Source organism: Homo sapiens, chromosome 7 (genome assembly GCF_000001405.40).
Source record: "Homo sapiens chromosome 7, GRCh38.p14 Primary Assembly".
Taxonomy (NCBI): domain Eukaryota; kingdom Metazoa; phylum Chordata; class Mammalia; order Primates; family Hominidae; genus Homo; species Homo sapiens.
The window spans coordinates 156,191,766-156,212,448 of NC_000007.14; the positions used below are offsets into that span (position 1 = coordinate 156,191,766).

At 47.6% G+C, this 20,683-nt stretch overlaps 2 long non-coding RNA genes across 3 annotated transcripts; both read left to right on the plus strand.

Annotated features, from left to right (window-relative positions):
* Positions 1-2,298: 2,298 nt before the first annotated feature.
* LOC105375601 (uncharacterized) lies at positions 2,299-11,899 on the plus strand. Its single transcript, XR_001745444.2, has 3 exons — positions 2,299-2,361; positions 4,263-4,407; positions 11,819-11,899. It is a non-coding gene; the product is annotated as an uncharacterized LOC105375601 (long non-coding RNA).
* Positions 11,900-12,047: 148 nt separating this feature from the next.
* LOC124901790 (uncharacterized) lies at positions 12,048-16,980 on the plus strand. 2 transcript variants are annotated; one of them, XR_007060616.1, is made up of 3 exons: positions 12,048-12,267; positions 16,328-16,413; positions 16,719-16,980. It is a non-coding gene; the product is annotated as an uncharacterized LOC124901790 (long non-coding RNA). The 2 variants fall into 2 exon arrangements; XR_007060615.1 differs by lacking the exon at positions 12,048-12,267 and adding an exon at positions 13,020-13,107.
* Positions 16,981-20,683: the final 3,703 nt, after the last annotated feature.

Here is a 20,683-nt window from a genome sequence, read left to right on the forward strand (position 1 = left end):
TCCCCTTGTACATTGGGGCTGGGAATATGGCTTTGAGGCAGGCCTGTGGACCCGGGGGTCCAGGTGAGCCAGTCCTCGGCCAGGACACCATGTGTTGCCTGATCCCCTCCCGCTATTCTAACACAGACAACACTTCAGTCTCTGGGTGCAAAATATCTCCCCTGGCTGTGCCTGCTGGAAGTTGTCACATCCTTGCTATTCCTCTTTCCTCAGGGTGTGACCGCCTGGGCAAATGGCTGCAGAGCCCTGTGGGATGTGTTGGAATCATTGTTAGGAACATCTGCTGGGTTACCGGAGGCCTCTTTCAGGGACCCACTCTCTTCTTCTGTCCATGGGCTCAGGCCCAGAAACGAGGAGAGAAGCTATGATGCTTGCTTGGAAGACCTACGCCCAGCCACCCTGGATTTCATCTGATAGCACAAACTGTGTGGCTCCTCCTTGGCTCTCCATTTATTTTCTATTTAAATACTTTTTTTTTTTTTTGAGATGGAGTTTCAGTCTTGTTACCCAGGCTGGAGTGTAGTGGCACAATCTCAGCTCACTGCAAGCTCCACCTCCCAGGTTCAAGCGATTCTCCTGCCTCAGCCTCCCGAGTAGCTGGGATTACAGGTGCCTGCCACCATGCCCGGCTAATTTTTGTATTTTCAGTAGAAACGGGGTTTCCCCATGTTGGCCAGGCTGGTCTCAGACTCCTGACCTCAGGTGATCCTCCTGTCTCTGCCTCCCAAAGTGCTGGGATTTCAGGTGCAAGCCACCACACCCAGCCTTAAATACTACATTTCTTTGAAAATATACGTGTTTCTCTAAAACCGCTCTCTGTAGTTCAGGCCCTGAGCTACCCCTCCAAACGGGCCGCTAGTAACAAAAATGCCTGAGTGCTGCCGTTTGGCTTCTGTCGCTTCTGGTTGCGTCGTTGCTATCAGCATGTCTAGCTCCGTGATGGGCTTCTTTCCGCCAGGGCAGACCTACTGAGAACGGTCACCAAGGAGCTTCTCGGAGATTCCTACGTCCAATCCCCAATACATTCCCTATGGGCATTTATAGTTTTTCAGGGAACTTGTTCCTACCATCTAAGTGTTGTTAAGTTTGTTGGCATAAACCTTTTCATAATATTCCCTCTTTATCCCCTTAATTCCCTAGGATCTGTAGTGATAATCCTTCTTTTATTCCTGATCCTGGGAATTTATTTTTTGATCAGTGCAGGGAGGGGTTTATCAACATGGTTTATCTTTGCCAGACTCTTGCTTGCCCAACTTCGGGTCCTGAATTTCCCTTTGATCCAGCCCCCAGGTATCCATGTCCACATCTCCTCTTCTAGCCTCTGCTGGCCCTGCTGACTCAGCTCTCGGCTGTGCTGCTGAGTCATGCGCTTCCTCCCTTCCGAGGCCCAGCACCTTCATGGCTGGGATATGCTGAGCCTGGATCCTAGCTACTGGTCCAGGGCCTAGGAGAAAAAGAGGGAGGGTTCCTAGGGGATGCTGTGCAATTGGAGGGAGATAAGATTCTCTCTATATATTAGTCTGTTCTCACACTGCTAATAAAGACTGGGTAATTTATAAAGGAAAGAGGTTTAATGGACTCACAGTTCCACATGACTGGGGAGGCCTCACAATCATGGTGGAACGCTAAGGAGGAGCAAAAGCACATCTTACATGGAGGCAGGCAAGAGGGTGTGTGTAGGGGAACTGGCAGGAGGGTGTGTGTAGGGGAACTGGCAGGAGGGTGTGTGTAGGGGAACTGCCCTTTATAAAACCATCAGATCTTATGAAACGTATTCACTATCACAAGAACAGCATGGGAAAGACCCACCCTGTGATTAAATTACCTCCCACCAGGTCCCACGTGTCACGTGGGAATTATGGGAGCTACAATTCAAGGTGAGATTTGTGTGGGGACACAGCCAGACCCTATCACTCTGTGTGCTTCCCAGGAGGCCTTGCAGCACTCACACTGCACCTCCAGGCTTTCATTGGCTGCCTCTGACACCTCTGTGACTCCCAGCAGAAGTCATCCAGTTCCATGCCCCTTACCATTACTCCTGCCCCAGCACCTCTCACACGCCTGAGATGTGGCACTTATGGTTCTCTTCCATGGTGCTTCACCCCAGTTCACCCTGGTGCAGTTTTAGCAATGCCCCCCTGCATGTCAGGGCCATCAGCACCTCATCCACCACCAATGGTGCATTCTCACTTCCAGCTGGCCAGCAGGAGATCCAATACCAAAATCCCAGTTTAGAGTCTGTGACCTACGACTGCCCCGCCCATGAATTGTTCAGTCAGATTCCCCAGGAAACAGACTCTGAGATGGAGATGAGTGTGCAGGGGTGTGTGGAGAGCTCTTGGGAATAGCACCTTTAAAAAGGTAAGAGAAGCAGAACTGGGCCGAGAGAGAAGTTGACCTGCTACGGAGTTATCCCAAATCCGGGTGGGACAGGGCCTTGAATCCCTGTAGCAGTACGTCAGTGAATGTGGGTGCCCCCGGGAAGAGGCCCTAACCCTGGCAAGGCAGCTCCTTCATTGGGGGACAATTCCTGGAGAAGGGGAACCCTAGGACCCCGCAGGCTGGAGATGAGTGTCTTGCTTGGAGGGTCTGGGTGGGACAGGCAGCATCCCCTCCATGGTGACCCAGCGATCTCCTCCAGAGGCTGGAGCTCACATGCAGAGACTGCTAGATGTGTTTACTCATTTCTTTTCCATACTTATTCTTCTTGGAATAAATGTATCTCACGTAAAAACTAGTCCTCTCGCTGACTACTCGTGTGATCTTTTTAAATTGCCCCTTCGGTTAAATGTGGATAATAATAGAATGTAAACCATAGTGTTTTTTGAGGGAGACAGAGGTGATGTGTATGAAACCTCCTGCACAGTGCCAGTACCTCATAGGAAGAGTTCAGCATAAGCTGCTATTATACACATTTAAAAGTGATATATGGTCACTGTGCCCTCCTACACCCTTTTTAGAAGTGCAGTTAAACCTTAGAGTCTTGTCACTCAGAAATCCTGTTGGCGTCTTTCTGATCTTCTTTCCCTAACCCTGATATCTTCACTGGAGTTTTCCTCTGAAATGACCGCAGCTGGGCCTTTGCAATGGGGCTACATGTTGAAAAGGATTTGGGGAGCAAAGATGAGCAGGGAGAGACAGGCAGAGCCAGGTCCCATCTGATTACCAGGTTCAGCGTTACTAGTGCAGAGCCGTGGCCGGGTCTCAGGCACCTCCCTGTCGGTCTCCAGGGCTGCCCCTCCTGCCAGCTGCGTAAGGCATCTATTTCCTGCCATGCCCCGGGGAGCCACAGAGTGCCACTGTGGGGGTCAGAGCCAGGGCGGGAATGAGGACTCAAGGCAGCCACGGGTTCAGAGTCTGTTTTTTCCCTTAAGTGGAATGGTTCCGTTTCCTGCCATGCCCCAGGGAGCCACAGAGTGCCACTGTGGGGGTCAGAGCCAGGGCGGGAGTGAGGACGCCAGGCAGCCACGGGTCCAGGGTCCGTTTTTTCCCTTAAGTATAATGGTTCTGAGGACACCGTGTAGATCATTCAAAAAAGTCATTTTACACACTTACGAGAGGCTGTTTGCAACTGCTGACAATGCCTTTTGGGGCAAGTTAACTGTAGCCTCATCAGAGTGTATTCCACAGAACCAATTTATTTTTATTGGTTTTATCACTAGGATATTAGCAAGAAGACTCCACTAGGAATTTCCTAATGGATGGTAAATCACTGTTTGGGGGGTTAGAGAGGTAATTGGGGCAGTTAGGTGTGAGCTGTATTCAGAAACTGACAGGGGAGACAAGGAAACAGGGCTAACAATGCCCACCTCCAACACCAGGAAAACCCAACTGGAAAGAACCCCTGTTGTTTGAAGCAAAACACAACGTTTCTCTCTGTCAGTTATCCGTAAAATAAGATACACCCAGATCTAACAACCCTCATTTGCAGTAGGCTGACAGCTCTGCCTGTCAAAATTGTTTGGATGTCCAAATTAACTTGAAGTTAATCCAGCTCTCAAAGGCCTATAAGAATCAGATCACAACATGTCTGCATAATAAGTTCTTTGTGCCAGGAAATAGGAATTAAATTGTTTTAAAGCAATAATGTTAGGTAAGTAAAGGAAAAAAGGCTTCCTACTGAGAGATATTTGCTGAACAAAATTAAATATTATAAAACCATATTATTAAACTCTGTCAAAAAGGTATTAATCTTGTTACTTTGGCACAGTACTTTAGGACTGTGGATCACTGTAAACTTAACCTTTTGTGTTATCTTGCAGCCAACATGAACGGAGGATTGGAAAGAGCGAAAGAGTAATACATCAGAAGTAGATGTTTGCAGTGTGCTGAGTTTGACCAAAATCAAAGCCGAAGCTGTCTATTGGACGGGTAAAGTTTCTGCTACAAGGCGTTTTGGAAACCACAGTAAGTCAAGCACGCACCCTCACACACACTCCCACAAATGCATGCCCATTCCACTCCTTCTTTGCTGTTTGATTTTTTCATCTGAAACCTATTCAAAGTGTGTGACAAGAGAATAGCCCCTTTCCAGGGTGGAATGTGCGCCGTGTCTCCTTATATCTGATGGTCTATACTCCTTGGTGCTGGAGTGAGTCCACCTTCCAAAAGGATCTTCTTTGCAAAAATCTCTCAGCACGGTCAAATGTCATCACAGCTCATGGTTTTTTGTTTGTTTGTTTGTTTGTTTGTTTGTTTTAAATAAGTAATAACCAACGTTTTCCACTGACTCACTATGTGCCAGTCACACCACTAAGTGCTGTTCATACTCACAGCAAGCCTACAAGATGTACACTGTCACTAGATCCATTTTATAGAGGAGGAAACTGAGTCCAGTGTTGGTCTGAGGTTTTGGTCATGCTCCAAAGGCCACACTCACCATCACGACACGGTGTGGCCTCGGCCAGTGCGGGGAACGTGGCCTGCATCAGCAAACGCTCAGAGGTGAGGTCTGGTCATGCTCCAAAGGCCACACTCGCCATCACGACACGGTGTGGCCTCAGCCAGTGCGGGGAACTGTGGCCTGCATCAGCAAACGCTCAGAGGACAAGGAAGCTTTCCTCCCACTTGTTTCATACCAAGGCCCTTCATTTTCAGGTTCTCTCCCCGACTCTCTTCACTTCCTCTTTCTTTCTCCTGCTCCTTTCCTCCTATTCTCATTTTTTTCTTAGCTTCTCTTTCTTTCTCCTCTAAATGGTTCTGTAGGCAACATGACCACCCCGAACTAAAAATAAAATCCACCTACACTTTCCAATGATGGCCCCACATCCAAGCATCTACCCATTTTCCCAGCCAGGGAAGGATGCGTGATTTACAAGAAACCACAGAAACACTGGGATCACTGCATTGTAAAATAAAACGTGTTCTTCATATGATTCGTGCTCTGTTAAAACGTATGGCATATTCGCTTCCCGCAGCTGCTGTAACGAATTACGTTTCGTGGCTTAAGACCACACAAATCTCTTATCCTACAGTTCTGGAGGCCGGAGGTCTAATATGGGCTGCAGGACTGGTTCCTGGGGGTTCCGGGGCAGAATTCTCCTTGCCCCTCCCAGCTTCTCAAGGCCACCTGCCTTCTCTGGCTTACGGCCTCCTCCTGGTATCACTGAGCTCTGCTTCCAGCTGTGCGCCAGTGATCTCTGACCACGCTCCCTGTGCTACAATCATTAACAACATTGGGCATGTCCTGTGCAAATGGATTTGAAACAAGTCAACTCAGCTCTCAGTAGTTACGCCTGGGCATCGGCACTGGACACCCACTCCTTAGGAGGTGCTAACCTTGATAGGAGTCGAAACGTGAAGCATCTCCCCCCTTGGACTTAGGACATAGCTTAGGATACAGGACACCTTTGTAAAGAAGAAATAATAATAATAACAATACAAGTTTGCAAATGCCAAGTGCCGTCAGGGTTGTATGAGTTAAGTTACTTACAAGCTGTCTCCTGTGGGAACTTGACTTTGACCTAAGCCTACTGTGGTCCCAGGAATGACCTGTCTCACCAACAACTCCTGGAGGTTGAATTTCCAATCTCTAAGTAGGAAGGTAGCAGAGAGTTGTGGGGGACACCGTTCCACCCATGATGACATCTGTCTCAGCCCTAGTGGGAAAGAATTGTGTGATGAGGAAGTCCCTTAAGCTCCAGTGCCTGTGTTTCCCCATCTGTAGAATAAACATATCAGTGAGAACCACTCTATCTTCATCCCTAGGATGCTCTCAGTTTAGGGAAAACTATAAAAAGTAGAAGCAGCTGTGATGGCTTGGGCCCTGAGACCTCTCTCCATGTGTTCCTCCAGTAGTCCTGCCGCGGGAGCTCTGCACAAGCCGCAGGGTCACATGTGAGGCCATCTCCACCTTCATCCCTGGGCCCAGGTGCAGTCTCTCTGTGCCGAAGCCTCTGGATTTCCAGCCCCTGGAACAGTGCCTACATCACAGTAAGGGCTCCAACGCTGTGTTGACCCAACACCGGAACAGAATAAAGCGACGGTGGAGGACACTGGGGGGTGCCTCAGGCGTATGCCCTAAGAAAAGTCAGAACGGGAGGGACTCTTTCCCAGCACAAGTCACTGCCTTTATTCTGCTTTGAGTCTGCATTTTCTTCCTTGGCATGCCTGTGATTCACGCATTCTCAGCCTCCCCGAAAGTGCCCATCAGGGCTCCCCTCTGTTTAATGAGATCCACATATGCTTTGTTTGATTATTTCTGTCAATGACTCAAGCTGGACTTACCATAAGGTGACTCACCTGTGTTTAACACAGGTGCCAATGCGATCTCCCGGGACCACAAGGAGCCAAAGGAAGCTGCCCCCAGGTGTCTTCAGTTCACCTGTTCCACAGGGGTGGGCCTTGCCCGGGTCAGCCCAAGTCCTGCGCCAGTTCAGGGGAGCGGATATTCTTGGCTTATTCTTAAAGGGAGCAGGCTTTAGATTTCCTAATATAGAATTTAAGTCCGGATTTTAATGAGCATACGTCCTTTACTGGAGAAAACAGGACCCTACTGGAGACAAATAAATAAATGATCGCACTCTGGCATTGTATGATCAGTGATAAGGAATTTACACATCACTCATAGCTCGAGGAAACCATAGGCCTTAGGAGAGATAAGGATGTTTATTTGCAGCCGTTAAGAGAAGAAGATGGTACAAAGAGGAACTGTGAACAAAAGGTGAGGGGTTAATTTTAAATTAAGAAAATGTGAGTCTAGAAGACTAGGGAGAAAAGAGAGAAAGAAGCTGAAGAGAAGGAAGGAAGGGAGGAGGGAGAGTGAGACAGAGGGGAGGGCAGACAGGCTCAGTGGGGAGAACACCCGGCAGAGGCAGGGCCTGCACATGCAGCTGCACTGAGAGTACCGCCACGATACCCCTGCCCCGGGGTGAAGGGCTGTGTCCCCAGCCATGGGAGTCCCTGCTCCTTGAGTCCTCACAGTCAACTCTGGGAATTGTCTCAGGTGAAGAACAAAACTGCCTCACTCAAGGCCACAGTTCCAGGAGCTGCCTACATCCTAGATCAGTCCGTGTGGGGTCTTCATACCACCCAGCCCTTGCTCCACGGCTCTGGACACCTCGGAAGGGCCCTCCAGCTTTAGTTTCCCTGGGGGCCCATGAGGCCACTCACCTTCTCCCTCTGCCTCACCTGCAGGTGTGGACCCTCTCCTAGGCACCAGGCTCCCTTCCAGAGCTGGTTCCTGGGGAGCCTGCCCTGTGGCATCTCCCTGTGGCATCATCTCCCTGCAGCATCCCATTCAGATCCCTGTGTTTGAGCTGGGTTTCTCAAAGGGTGGTCTCCAAACTCACTGAGAGCCCCACAACGGTGAAGAGTTCTGCGCCACCCAGACCTATGGAGTCAGCTTCTTTGATGATGTGTCCTGAGTATCTATACTTTTAACAAGCTCTTCAGGTAATTTGTTGCAAGCTAAATTCAAGAACCACTATTTCAGAAAGTGCAGAGCCAAAAAGACCAGACGAAGAAATGTAACAGAACTTTAATTTCTATCTATGGCACCGATAAAAGATACTAGGTCCTTTATAAAATGTTGGCTCCTAATAACATCAGGTGAGTGCTCCTCCCATTTCATGAAGGAGGTCCCTAAATCTTCACCTTGAGCCCTCATTTGGCATGGACAAATTCAACACATTTCTTTCTCAGGGCGCATCTGTGTCTCGCTCCCACTTTGCTGCAGTGAGCTATCAGGCAGCTGTCGCTCTCCTCGTCCTTCCTGCTACCTCTTGGGGGATAGCAGCGAATTGATGTCATTTGAGATTCTGTCTTAATCTATTTTGGCAGCATGAGGATGGCATACTGAATCCTATAAAGAATGCCAAGTGACTTATCAAACTGAGTGATGTCGTATGGCCAATAAATTGTCCCGGGCCACAGCAATGTGATTCCACCCAGGTCTCCACATCCAAGCTGTAGTTCAGGTGACTCCTGGCTGTGGATGACACATCCCCAACCCTTTCCTTTTCTGCAGCTGATCCGCATGAATCTGTAGTTTCTGCCCTAGGCTCTTCTCCAGGGGCCAGGGCTGCTGTTCCTGTACTTTACTCTCCTTTGTTGGGGAAAGAGGATCACAGAGAACTGCGGGTGTGTCCTTGGATTTCTTCTTCTCTGAAGCTGTGTATTAGAGCTTGCTTGTAGGTGAATGAGTCCCCCCCATTTCGATGACTCTTGTCCTTTGTACCTGAGTGTTGACAGCAGGTTCCATTGCTTGCCCAGGAGTGCCACTCTCCAGGTCATTGCAGTGTCAAGGGAGCAGCACCCGCCCTGAGGACCATCTCTCTGGCCTGGGGGAAACCCTTGCTCTGCCTCAGATCACTGCAGCCCACAAAGACCTCGTTTTGATTTCACTTCAGGACTTGTGCTGAATGGCCTCATGTACTCTGTGGCCTCATGTATTAATCTTCCTAAGGAGAAAGCATCAAAAGCTTTCCTTAAAGATAAGGTAGAGTGCAGCCACCCCTCTCCACATAGCTTGTTGGAGAAGAGCAGGGCAGTGGGGAGCGTGGCCATTTGGGTCAGGGGGCAGCGCAGGGTTGGTGTCCTGCAGTTTCCCAGCTAGCTGAGCAGGGGGAGCAGGGGCTCGGGTCTGACTCTTGATGGCTGAGTGGCTCTGTTCTGGTGCCAGCAACTGGCCCCATGGTGACATTTATCTGTGCGGGCCTATTTTGATATGCTGGTGAGCTGGGGAGTCAGAAATCAAAAATAGTGGGTTTTCCTTTAACCAACCCCAAATTGTTACAAGGAGAATCAAAAACAAGACAGCAAGTCTCTGGGGACCAAGATGGACTCAGAAAGCTTTTGTCTTGTGGGAAGTTAGTCCGGAGTATTACACAGAAGGACTAGTAAAGCACAAAAGATTCACATGTGGCTCATTTACTAATTCTTCACAAGAAAAATAATGTGGGCCAGTGAATTATACCACATAGCTTAGATCCAAATACTGTGTCTATTTGAAATATCCAGATAATTTAGGGAGAAGGTTCAGAATGATTTGGCTTTAATTAACTGGATCTAACTAGAGGATGTTAAGTAACCCTAAGAATTTCCCAAGAATATATGGGAACACTACGTCTATTTGTCCTTGAGTGCTACCTGTGTTCTAAAACAAACAGTATTCTAAATCCTTTCCTATTGGTTTGTCTCTAGAAAATGTTTGTTATACATTTAAGGCCAAAGAGCAAAAACAAACATGGACATATTAATTCACAGAGGGAATGTAGGACATCTGACAGGCAAAAGATGAAAGGCTGCACTTTTTTCCCTCACCTTTTATCCTGAAGTGAACACCTTCAGGAAGCTGGCTTAAAGAGATGCTGAGATTTAAGAAATAAGCTGGAGGCCTGTTATTACACAACTTGTTTTTACACGGATGTTGCATAGATCAGACCACGCCCTTTGGAGCATCCCAACGACCCCCTCGTTAGAGTCCGGAGGGGCCGGCTTCATTTGACCTGAGCTCTGAACTCCACCCTGACTCTATCACTGAGAGTCGCAGTGCTGTGCTGGAGAGAGCTCTCGACGGGAGAAAGCCCCCTGGTTTGTAGCACGTGCTGATTCCTGTGGTGTAAACGTTCCTGAAAGTATTTCCCCACTGGGTGTCAGGAGCCAGTCCAAGGTGGCTCTGCACACCACTGCCTGCTGCAGGATGATGAAGAGAGCTTGTCACTCAGGTCGTCAACAAACATTTGTTAATAATTCGTCCCATACCTCTACTCAGCAGACCCAGCCTCACCTCTGGAGAGACCAAAGGGAGTCTCGGAATCCCCCAAGGAGCCTCACCTGGTCTCTGACTGTAATTTGGGCTCCAGATAGTGCAGGCCCACTGAGCACACATGAGATGCCAGACTCCAGGCTCCCAGTGTGTCCCAAACAACCGGGATGCCTGCTTTTCCCAAGCTCAGATGCGCCAAGGCTTAAATCTTGTTGGAATCTTCAGCTGCAGATTCCAATAAGAACTTTTAGGGCCTTATCAACCAGAAAGTGGAAAGAGTGAGAGGGAAGCATTACCATCATGGGAGTAAAAACTCACTGGGTCAAAATGCTGATGAATTTATGGAATGTTGGCTCCGCTCCAGGAGAGAGATGGCCCCAAGGTTCTCCATCATCTCATTGGCTCCAAAACAAAATCCACTGGCTGGCAGATTACTGCAATGAGCATTTCGTGACAGGTAGCTTCTAATTGTCTAAAATGTCGCTTAAAAGAGTCAAAGTACAAACAAGTAAAACAGCATATGAGGCTACCATAGATGTCTGAGCCACATCTGCCAGGCCCACATCTGTGAGGAGGTGACTGGGGGAGTTCCCACACCTGCAGGGGCTGCAGGCTCCAGCCCAGTCCTCTCCTTACTGACCCTCAGCATGCTCCCGTGAATGAGATGGTGCTATGTGCAAGGGAAAAATGTATGGCCATTAGTTAGTCATCAGCAACTTATCTCCAAACAGCAAGTCAGGTTCCAGCCTGAGGAAGGGGTTTCTAGAGGACGGAAGCCCAGGATCTGGCTTTTGATGGGAAGGGTCACTTTGGCAGGGCTAATAAAAAAAGAAAAGACAAACATCAAAAATGAGAAGAAAGAAGAGGCAGATGTCATCTTAAATTGAAAAAACCAGGAATTATTGTTTGTCCTCCATGGGCACAGTGCTTTGTACATAAGAAAAGTTAGGGGGATGTATTCTGATCGTGTTCTACAGAAATCTGAGGCAGTCCCCCAACCCCCACAGGCTCTTCTGCACCTGGCACGGCCCTGACCAACCCCAGCCACAGTCGAGTGCTTATGACACAAGATTATCCCCCTTGACAGACCCCTCCCATCTAGAATGTTCTGCCATCTTCTGAGTTTCGGTGCCATTGGATCTCTGAGGTCTGCGGAACCCAGGACCTTCTAAGATGAAAGTGGTGCTGTGGCTGGCGTGGTCCTGTTGGTCCCGCCTGCGCAGTGGATTGCCTTTAAAGAAGAGTCAGGTGTCCCCGATGCCCAGGTTTCCTCCTCTGAGTCCGCTTTCCCCACCCCCAGCCCCATAGAATTTACTTAATTAATGTTTTTCACGGGAGTGTCTCACCGTTCCCATGTATTTACTGAACTATTTGCCGCTGCAAAGGAAAATGATTGTTTTTATTTATTTGAACTTCTGAATATCTCCCATTGTCTGTTTTACTATTCAAAATTCCAGCACTTTAATAGTCTTAGGAGAGGGGAGTTGGAAATCTTTGTATATTCATAATTCTATGAAATAATTGTTTACCGAGATTATTTCAGTCTGTAATCGTGTCTTTGTTTTCCCCTGTGAAACATACCGTGCTCAAATGCCTTTGTTCAATTCTCAGGAAGGGAAGAGCATGACACCAGTTCTCCCCGAAAGATCAAAGGGAGATTCCGATGCAGGTCTCCAGGCCGCTGAGTAAAGCGTCGCCTAACTTGCCCTCCATTGATCCCCAGGATGTAAAGCTCTACTTGGCGTCTTGGACAGCGAGATTGGCTGTGGGAAGCTTCCCTTCCGCTGTCTGGTGCTTAGAGGCCGGGCACATAGAGACGTCTCTCTGAGCTCTTGACCTTTGTGGGTTTGGAATAACAGGCAGGAAGATGCCCCGAAGGGAGCATTTGGAGAGAGAGAAGCAGGACCCCGGGAGGCGTCAATGTCCTTGCCGTGGCACCATCATGTCTTTGCTCCATGGAGAAGAGATGAAAACGGGAGCCTCTTTGCTGCAAAGCCGATGAGGCCAAGCTCCCAAAGCGAGAAGCAAAACATAGGCAAGGAGCAGCATCTCTCACCCCGGTACGATGCCCGCCCTGTTGCAGGGTCTGGGTTTGCTCACGATATGTCTGCTCGGGGTGGATGACAGCTGGAGACTGGTGAGAAATCCTCCCTGCCTCAGTCAAGGCCCGGGCCCATCGAGCCATCTTGCCCATGGACACACAAGGCAATTTCCAGAGGCCTGCAGAGCCCATTGCTCTCACTCCTAGGAAGGGGGAGGCCAGGAAGGCTGGGCTGCTCAGGAGAGACCTGTCCCCCAAGGAGGGAGGGGCTTCAGGAGCAGACCCAGGTCTTTTCTGTGGAAATCCTTATACCTTATGTAAAGATCCCATTGAGTCAAAGGCTCTTGAATCCACTGCTGACCTGCGGTCACATAGTCAAATTCATCTCAGCCTTTACTGCATCCTATAAGCTTTCCTGACTCAAACCCACATTCATCCCCTATCCATCTCAAAGCTATGGGATTTTGTGAATAGAACCCATGGTAATTTTTTCAAACACTCCATCTATAGAGATCTGTGTACCTGAAGAAGCAGTAGAACTACAGGGAGCCTGATAGGGCAGGATAACTCCAAAGTTAGTTAAGAGTGAAATCAGGGCTACCAAAGTTTAAGTCAGCCCAAGACAGACTGACCATGCCCAACCTGTATATGATGACCCTGTACGTCTGAGCACAGGGCCGCTCACCATCACCCCTCCATCTCAGTGCCTGAGCCCTCCATCACCTGAGCACTGTGCTTCTAACCATTATTGCACCCCCAGACCCCAGTCTGCCTTCAGTCTGGCATTAAACAAAGAGCACTACATCTTTTCCCGATGGCCAACCACACAGATCCACCCTGGCACATGCACACCTGAAAGGTAAGGCCCCTGAGTCAACGCTGAATAAGCTCTTATTTCCCTAATGCGACTTGACCTCAGAAGTCCTTTTCACCAATGCAGCTTAATGTTTTTGTAAATAGTTCCCAGTCCATGTGGAATTCAACCCTGAGTGGTTCTCCTGTTAGAATGTGTCATGTATGTTCACTGCCTAGCCTGTCAGTTCTCATTACCCTCTCTGCTCGCCATTCGTCTCTCCCTGCATTTCTAAGCAGAGTCTGCCGTCCTGTCAGGAAGATCCCCTAATAGCCTCTGCCTTGGTTCCCAAGCCCTTTCTTTTCTTTTCTTTTTCTTTCTTTCTTTTTTTTTTTTTTTTTTTTTGAGATGGAGTTTTGCTCTTGTTGCCCAGGCTGGAGTGCAATGGCGCGATCTCAGTTCACCACAACCTCCACTTCCCAGGTTCAAGTGATTCTCCTGCCTCAGCCTCCTGAGTAGCTGGGATTACAGGCATGTGCCACCACCCCTGGCTAATTTTGTATTTTTAGTAGAGACAGGGTTTCCCCATGTTGGTCAGGCTGGTCTCGAACTCCCGACCTCAGGTAATCCGCCCCCCACGGCCTCCCAAAATGCTGGAATTATAGGCGTGAGCCACCACACCTGGCCTTCCCAGCCCTTTCTCCTATGGGGATCCCTGATTTCATATTTTCCTACTCTGTCAATTCCAGCAGATCTAGAATGTGTTTCAAATTGCTTCAAAGTTTCAGAATACTGCACAAATTAAAACTAATAAAAAGCCACAGAAATCCTAGCAGGAATAAGGAGGCAGTGGAAAAGTGGTTTCCTGGGCTCTGAGAAAGGGCTCAAATTACTTATGGGAATCAAAGCAAGTAGGGAACCAGTTTGGTTCGGGTCCTAGCTCAGAGGACAATGAAGCTCCACTTAAACAGACTTCCAAAGGTCGTTAATGACAGCTTCTTTCTACCACGTGGAACCTGAACACGACAGGTGCCTTCTGGCCTGGTCCTCTGTGGTACTGAGGGCCCACTCAGTTCTGTCCGAGCAGAGAGAAGAGTTATCTGGGAGGACATTGTCTGGCGGATCAGACCATTCCAGCTGTTCAGTCCCAATAATTCAGTTCCAAATTTACTTTTTTCCTTAACAGAAGAGTCTTCATCCCTCCAATGCTCCATTTTAATGTGCCTTATATAGAGTATTGATTTTTTTTTTTTTTACTCTGCATCTTATTTATTTATTTTGAGACAGAGGCTGGCTCTGTGGCCCAGGCTGGAGTGCAGTGGTGTGATCTCAGCTCACTTTAACCTCCGCCTCCTGGGTTCAAGCAATTCTCCTGCCTCAGCCTCTTGAGTAATTGGTATTACAAATGCCTGCCACCACGCCCAGCTAATTTGTTTGTATTTTTAGTAGAGACGGGGTTTCGTCTCTGTGGCCAGGCTGGTTTCGAACTCCTGACCTCAAGTGATCTGCCCAACTTGGCCTCCCAAAGTGCTAAGATTACAGGCGTGAGCCACTGCGCCCAGCCTGCATTTACTTCCTAAGTGCAAGGCAATAGTTTGAATGCAGGCTTGGGCTGAGAGTATAAAGATGGTCATCGTCATGGCCATAGACATCTGTGATTTCTGTGATGACCGGCAGGACAACATTCAGGAGCAGGGCTCTTTTGTTAGAAGTCCCCTACACTGTTTGAGGAAGGATGAAACATACTTTCCCCACTCACCTCTTCAGACATATACCTCACTCACTGCTCCTACATTGTCTAATCACAATGCAGCCTGGATCTCAGTTTAACATAATACAACAGCAAAAACAGCAACACAGACAGAGCTGAGAAGGCCCAGCCAGAGTCAGACAGAGGCAAAACAGTGGCAGCCTATACAATCCAGCTTCACCCCCACCTCTAAATTCTTCTCCTGCCAGATCAATGGTATTTGAAATTTCTTTAGCTAGAAAGAGGTACTTTTGTTTTGTTTTGTTTTGTCTTCCATAATTGAAGAAGGCTTTAAAGAGGAAACGCTCTGAGTGAGATGGAACATATTGGTAACCATTTTCTCCTCCAAGTGGTGAGAAGTTGGCATCAAATTCCTCCTTTCCTGAAGGTTACCATTAAAGGGAACAGAAGGTCACTAAACAGAGGGGCTGCCACCCCAGTGAAAGACTCCCCTGTGTTCTGGTTTTACTCCCCTCTAGCCTTGTTTTGGTCACAAGTCACGTTGGTGGAAGAGGCGATGGTTGTCTCATGGCTATGTACTGAAAAAACTTCCAGGATTGTGCCCCCGGCCCTGGAATTATGAGCTCTCATTACCAGACAGCTTGGTGTTCAACAGAGAGATTATCTTCCAGGGTATGCGACTCTTTCTCCCCACTGAATTGGGACCTCGGTCTGCCACCAGACGAGTCATGTGGTGCAAGGTTAACCCGGGTGATTTCATTCCTGACCAAACAAAGCGACATACAACTTCTGAATCAAAATCGATGGGAAGTATATGGTGAAATATGGCGACTCTTGCAGGCCTCTCCTTAGAGTATCGTGTTCAGTGATCACAGCAGTGGAAAAGCACCACAGCCCTCTTGAGGAAGAACGGCCAAGACCCAGCCCCTGTAGGAATAAATGCTGCCACCCCTGGCAAGCAAAATGGCCCAGTCCACAGGAGGAGGAAAGAGACAGAGCCAAGGACAAGGACGAAAGCACGTGATACTGGCTGTAGCCTAAGCCAGCTGTCATCACTAGGCTTCCTGATTTTGCTTTACCTTCCTGGCTGTTTCATATAATTTAAAAAGTACTTCTTTTCTTCTTTCTGCTTACCATTTTTAAATATATTGTGCATTGGGCTGGGTGCAGTGGCTCACACCTGTAATCCCAGCACTTTGGGAGGCCAAGGCAGGGAGATCATTTGAGGTCAGGCGTTCAAGACCAGCCTGACCAATATAGTGAAACCCCGTCTCTACTGAAAATACAAAAATTAGCTGGGCATGGTGGTGCACGCCTGTAATCCCAGCTACTCAGGAGACTGAGGCAAGAGAATTGCTTGAATCTGGGAGACGGAGGCTGCAGTGAACAAAGATGGTGCCACTGCACTCTAGCTTGGGCGACAGAGTAAGACTCTGTCTCAAAAAAAAACATATATATACATAATTTTATATAAATATATATATACGTCGTGTGTGTGTGTATATATATATATATACACACACACACATATATATAATGCATTGATGTTGGCAAAACATGCCATGTATTCCACAGGCAGGATCCTGCTAGGATCACGATGGGATGCACATCAGCCGAGATCGTCCACCTGGAGAGCTGTGACTCCATGGCACCAACTGTGGGTGAGAGGGTTGTATATAACCTTGGGTTTTCCTCCCATGGGTGAGAAAGTGAGCACATGGTTGCAGTTGTAGCAGCAGAACTCCATTACGTTGCGGGTGGAGGTGGGGGTGACGTGGACATCAACACGAAGAAGAGAGTGTGGTATGTGCTAGGTGGCCAAGCCGTGGACCATACCATGGCTGTGTCTTTAGTCTTCCTAGCAACCCCTCCCGACCCTATTCAGGTAGCAAGTCCTATCTCTTGGCCACAGGGCAGGCATGTGAAACTCACTGGGTTGATCATAGCATCTTATCTCCCCAATCAGGTGGCAGGCCCACTGGGTGAGCACCAGAGGAAATGAAGAAGTGGAATTCTCTCATGGGACTTGTACATTGAGTGCAAATAAACAGAAGACAGTCAGTGCCAACACATCTGATGGTGGCACCTAATGGGAAGTCCACAGGACCCCCTGCAGAGATTCCTAGAGCTGCCCTAATCCCTCCCTTTCCCGAGCACTGGTTTTTCTGATTTTCTCAATTTTTTAATAAGTTAGAAGTCATTCCTGTGGCTTGCAGAATAGAACCTAAACTGACACTGGGTACCACCTTCTGGAAGAGAAGCAATGGCCTTAAGATTCTTCAGAAAGAGAGAGATTTCCTGAGTAATGGATCTTTAACCCCTGATCTAGTTTGGTGAATATGGACAGTTCATGGTGACCTTAATTCTTGATTGTGGCAGGAAGCACCAGTAAGCTATGCCACTCAGGAAGACCTGACCGGGTTCCGGTGGAGAAGCATTTTAATCCAGCCACATGCTGAGGCTTGTGAAGGTTTTCCTTTTGGTTGACCATAAAAAGAGCCCCAGTGGGAACAACATCTTCCCAGGTCCCAAAAATATAAACAGGGGTCTCCCAGACTTCAAATCCACCCTTTCAGACATGGGTGTTTTCACGTCTCCGCATCTGTGGCAAAGGGAAGGGGCTCAGAACTGGAAGTTACCAGACAGGATTATCTCCAGCTTGGCCAGTTGTTTGGTGAGAATTGCTCTTGGGAAACTTCTCTTCCTTATCTTTGGAGAAAGGCCAAGGTCAGAGGCAAAAACAAAGTCTGATGCAGATTGCTATCTCCATTTTCTTGGAACCAACCCTCTCGTTTTCCAAGGCTGGAAAAGAGGAAGAGAACATCGCTGGAGGAAAGAGACAGAAAAGGGAAGGCGAGCTCAGCCCCCTCGCCAGCCTGGCTGTGCCGAGTTCCTGGAGCATCACAGGACTCTGCTAGTGCTTGTGGGTTTCTGATCCTCTTGCCCATGTTTTGGGGAAATTTTCTGTACTTTTAGCCAGACTCCAGGCTTGGTTTGGCATCACCCAGGATCCCAGATCGGGAGTCCCAATCCCTGCACCTCCTTCTTCCGCCTCAGGTCATTACTCTTCCCCAGCCGCAGGCTATGCAGTGAATGAGCTTCTTAGATCCAATTTGTCTAGGACTCTGACACCCATCAGCTCTTTTCAGGTTCCTTTTTATGCTCTCCCGATTTGTGCTTCCAGGAGCTAAATTCTTGACCATGGTCACTTCTTACCTAGACCCTTCCTACCCTATTGAGCGCTCTGGTCTAAATGATCCTGCAGTTCCCAGGGTCCTGGATCCACCCCAGACCTGACATCAATGTCTGAAGGAGACTTTTTCCTGCAGAAAAGCTTTTAAAGAGTGGAGACACTGTAAACATTGTGGAATAAATGAAAGATTGAATTAATGAATTGTAGACCACGTTGGATACATTAAAAATTTGTGTTTTTTTATTTTAATGTTTTAAAAATTCATCCCTATCACATGTCAGACTACACATGCAGTATGAGGTAGCTGAAAAAAATACAGTTTCTCAGATAAAAGTTTTGGTTTAGTTAACGATAGAGTGAGGGTTGGAGAACAATGCCGGAGAGACAGTAGGTGCTTGGTAAATATTTATCATATTTGCCAAGTGAAAAAAGCCTCAGACACAGGCAGAAAAGATGATGGGGGAGGTTCATGTAGACCTGGTGGATCTGTGATATTTGGGGGCATCCATGGGGCTCAGGAAGGGAGTTTATTTCCCACAGCAATGAGAAGTGGGGGCTGAGGGAAAATGGCCTGCTTCACAGCCACGGTGACAAGCTTCCATCTGATGGTGATGGATATTGATTTTTTCCTCCTCTTCTTGGCCTGTAATGTCCTAAATCACTTCCTTTGTGCAATTGCCCAAACTCCTACCCCAGCTCCCACAGTGAGGGACCTGAAGGTTAGGGCTCCAAGGGGTGGGGCATCCACATTAGGAGCGGCAGCGAGAATCCAGCCGAGGCGAGCAGATGGCGCTGAGACAGAACCCCCATCCTGGGCAGCTTTCTCCATAATGGAATCCACATTAAAAATGATATTATCTACACTTTTAAAGGCCCTAATGGATGATATTTATGTCTGTGAAATATGTCCCTGACTAAGCCCTACACAGTAGAGGAAGAACAAGCCGTTGGGAGAAGGCTGCTTCTGAGTGAAGGAAACAGTGATGGATAAATTTCTTTTCCAAGCAGCCAATCAGTAAAATAGGTTTTAATACATGACAAAAAGTATAGTTTGTCCGTTTTCCCCACAGAGATGGCGAGTAGTCGAGCTTTAATGTGACTTGACAGCCTTGTGATCCTTTCTGCCATCCTTGTTCTTAGCAAAGTGCTCTAAAAACGCACCTATAATTTATTTATGGGACCTGTCAGTTAACTCATGAATAACCAGAATGTTCCAAAGGGCATTGAGACTCGACACTTCTTCCTTTCTCTGGGAAACACTGCCGTCTGGATCCCAGGGAAGTTAAGTGACGACTTACCGTACACTTTGTGCCAGAGAGAGAGATGGGAGAAGACACAGCCAAATTACCGGCACTCACTAGAGCAGCACTCACTAGAGCAGCACTCACTAGAGCATCTCAGGAATTATGGTTAGGTTGAATAAATTAGGGAAATTTATTTAAAGTCCCCAAAGCTCCAGATTCTTTTCATTAATGACCAAATATTTACAAAGAAGAAAAATTTTCAACTGGAGACTGAATTTATAGCATTCGGCATCAGAAAATCTCTAATATCCAAAAGACAAGCCAAAAAATAAAATCACACTCTCAGAAATTTGAAGGTTGGACTCCACAGTTGAATTCTTGGTAACATGGGCCTGAACCAAGCACAACACAATAACTTCACTGAATGTAGTATTTTGCCCAATATGATCAAGAAATCTTAACAGAACCACAAACTATTTTTATTTTCAAGTATCAAAAGAAAATGTCATATACTGTTTTATTTTGGCATAGGTCTCTCTATATTCACCAAAGAAAGAAGATAAGGAGCTGTTCTTCAGTGGTTCTGGCCATTGTCAATAACCAAACCAGATCATTACAGGTGGATGAAAGTTATTGTCAACCTGCACCACCCAGAGTCCCCAGACAGCTCCCCTGGCCACCCCATTGGTTGGAAGCAGATCAGGGCTCAAGGTTTTCGGTGTGGGCTGGACACCTGCGTGCTGTTTTCACAGTTAGGGATCTAACATTGCACATTTGCTCAAACTTCAGGCCTGTTGCTTTACACACGATATGCATACACACAACAGTGGATATCCTGAGTAATCCTTCAATGTTTAAAATGTTTGCGTCGTAATTCCCAGCTAAGACAATAGTGATCACAGACACAATACATAAAGGCAGTGAAGCTAAGGTGTACATCATATGCACCCTTTACTCATAGATGCCAAACATTTCATTGATTCTCTGCCAAAAAGAACATTCAATATTCCAGGAAAAAATTTCCTAACAGGTGACGTAGAATATATGGCATTTAATTGAACAATAAAAAATAAGGTACAGAAAGATTCAGACTTTTACTACTTTTACTATGAATCTTTGAATTTTAGTATGAATCTGTACCACTCCAAAACAGCTCATTGGTTCACTCTAGATGTACACACTAGCCCTAAGTGTATGGAAAATTATAGTTACAAATCATTAATAGAGCAGCATTTGCTAATCTTCACACAATGATCGACTTCAGCCTTGGTGGAATTAGGCTTCTGCCACAGTATGAATAGTAGGCAGTTTTAGGAAGCCCAGCCCCGCCTGGTCAAGGTACCCTGAAGGTGCTGATGACAATGGTGATGACAGCCAGGGGCTGTGGGGTTACCTGTGCCACCTGCTTCAGTCCTTACAACAACCCAGGTAAGGCACTGTCAGGACCCCCGTTTACAAATGAGGAAATGGACGCTGAGAGAGGCCACTGACTTG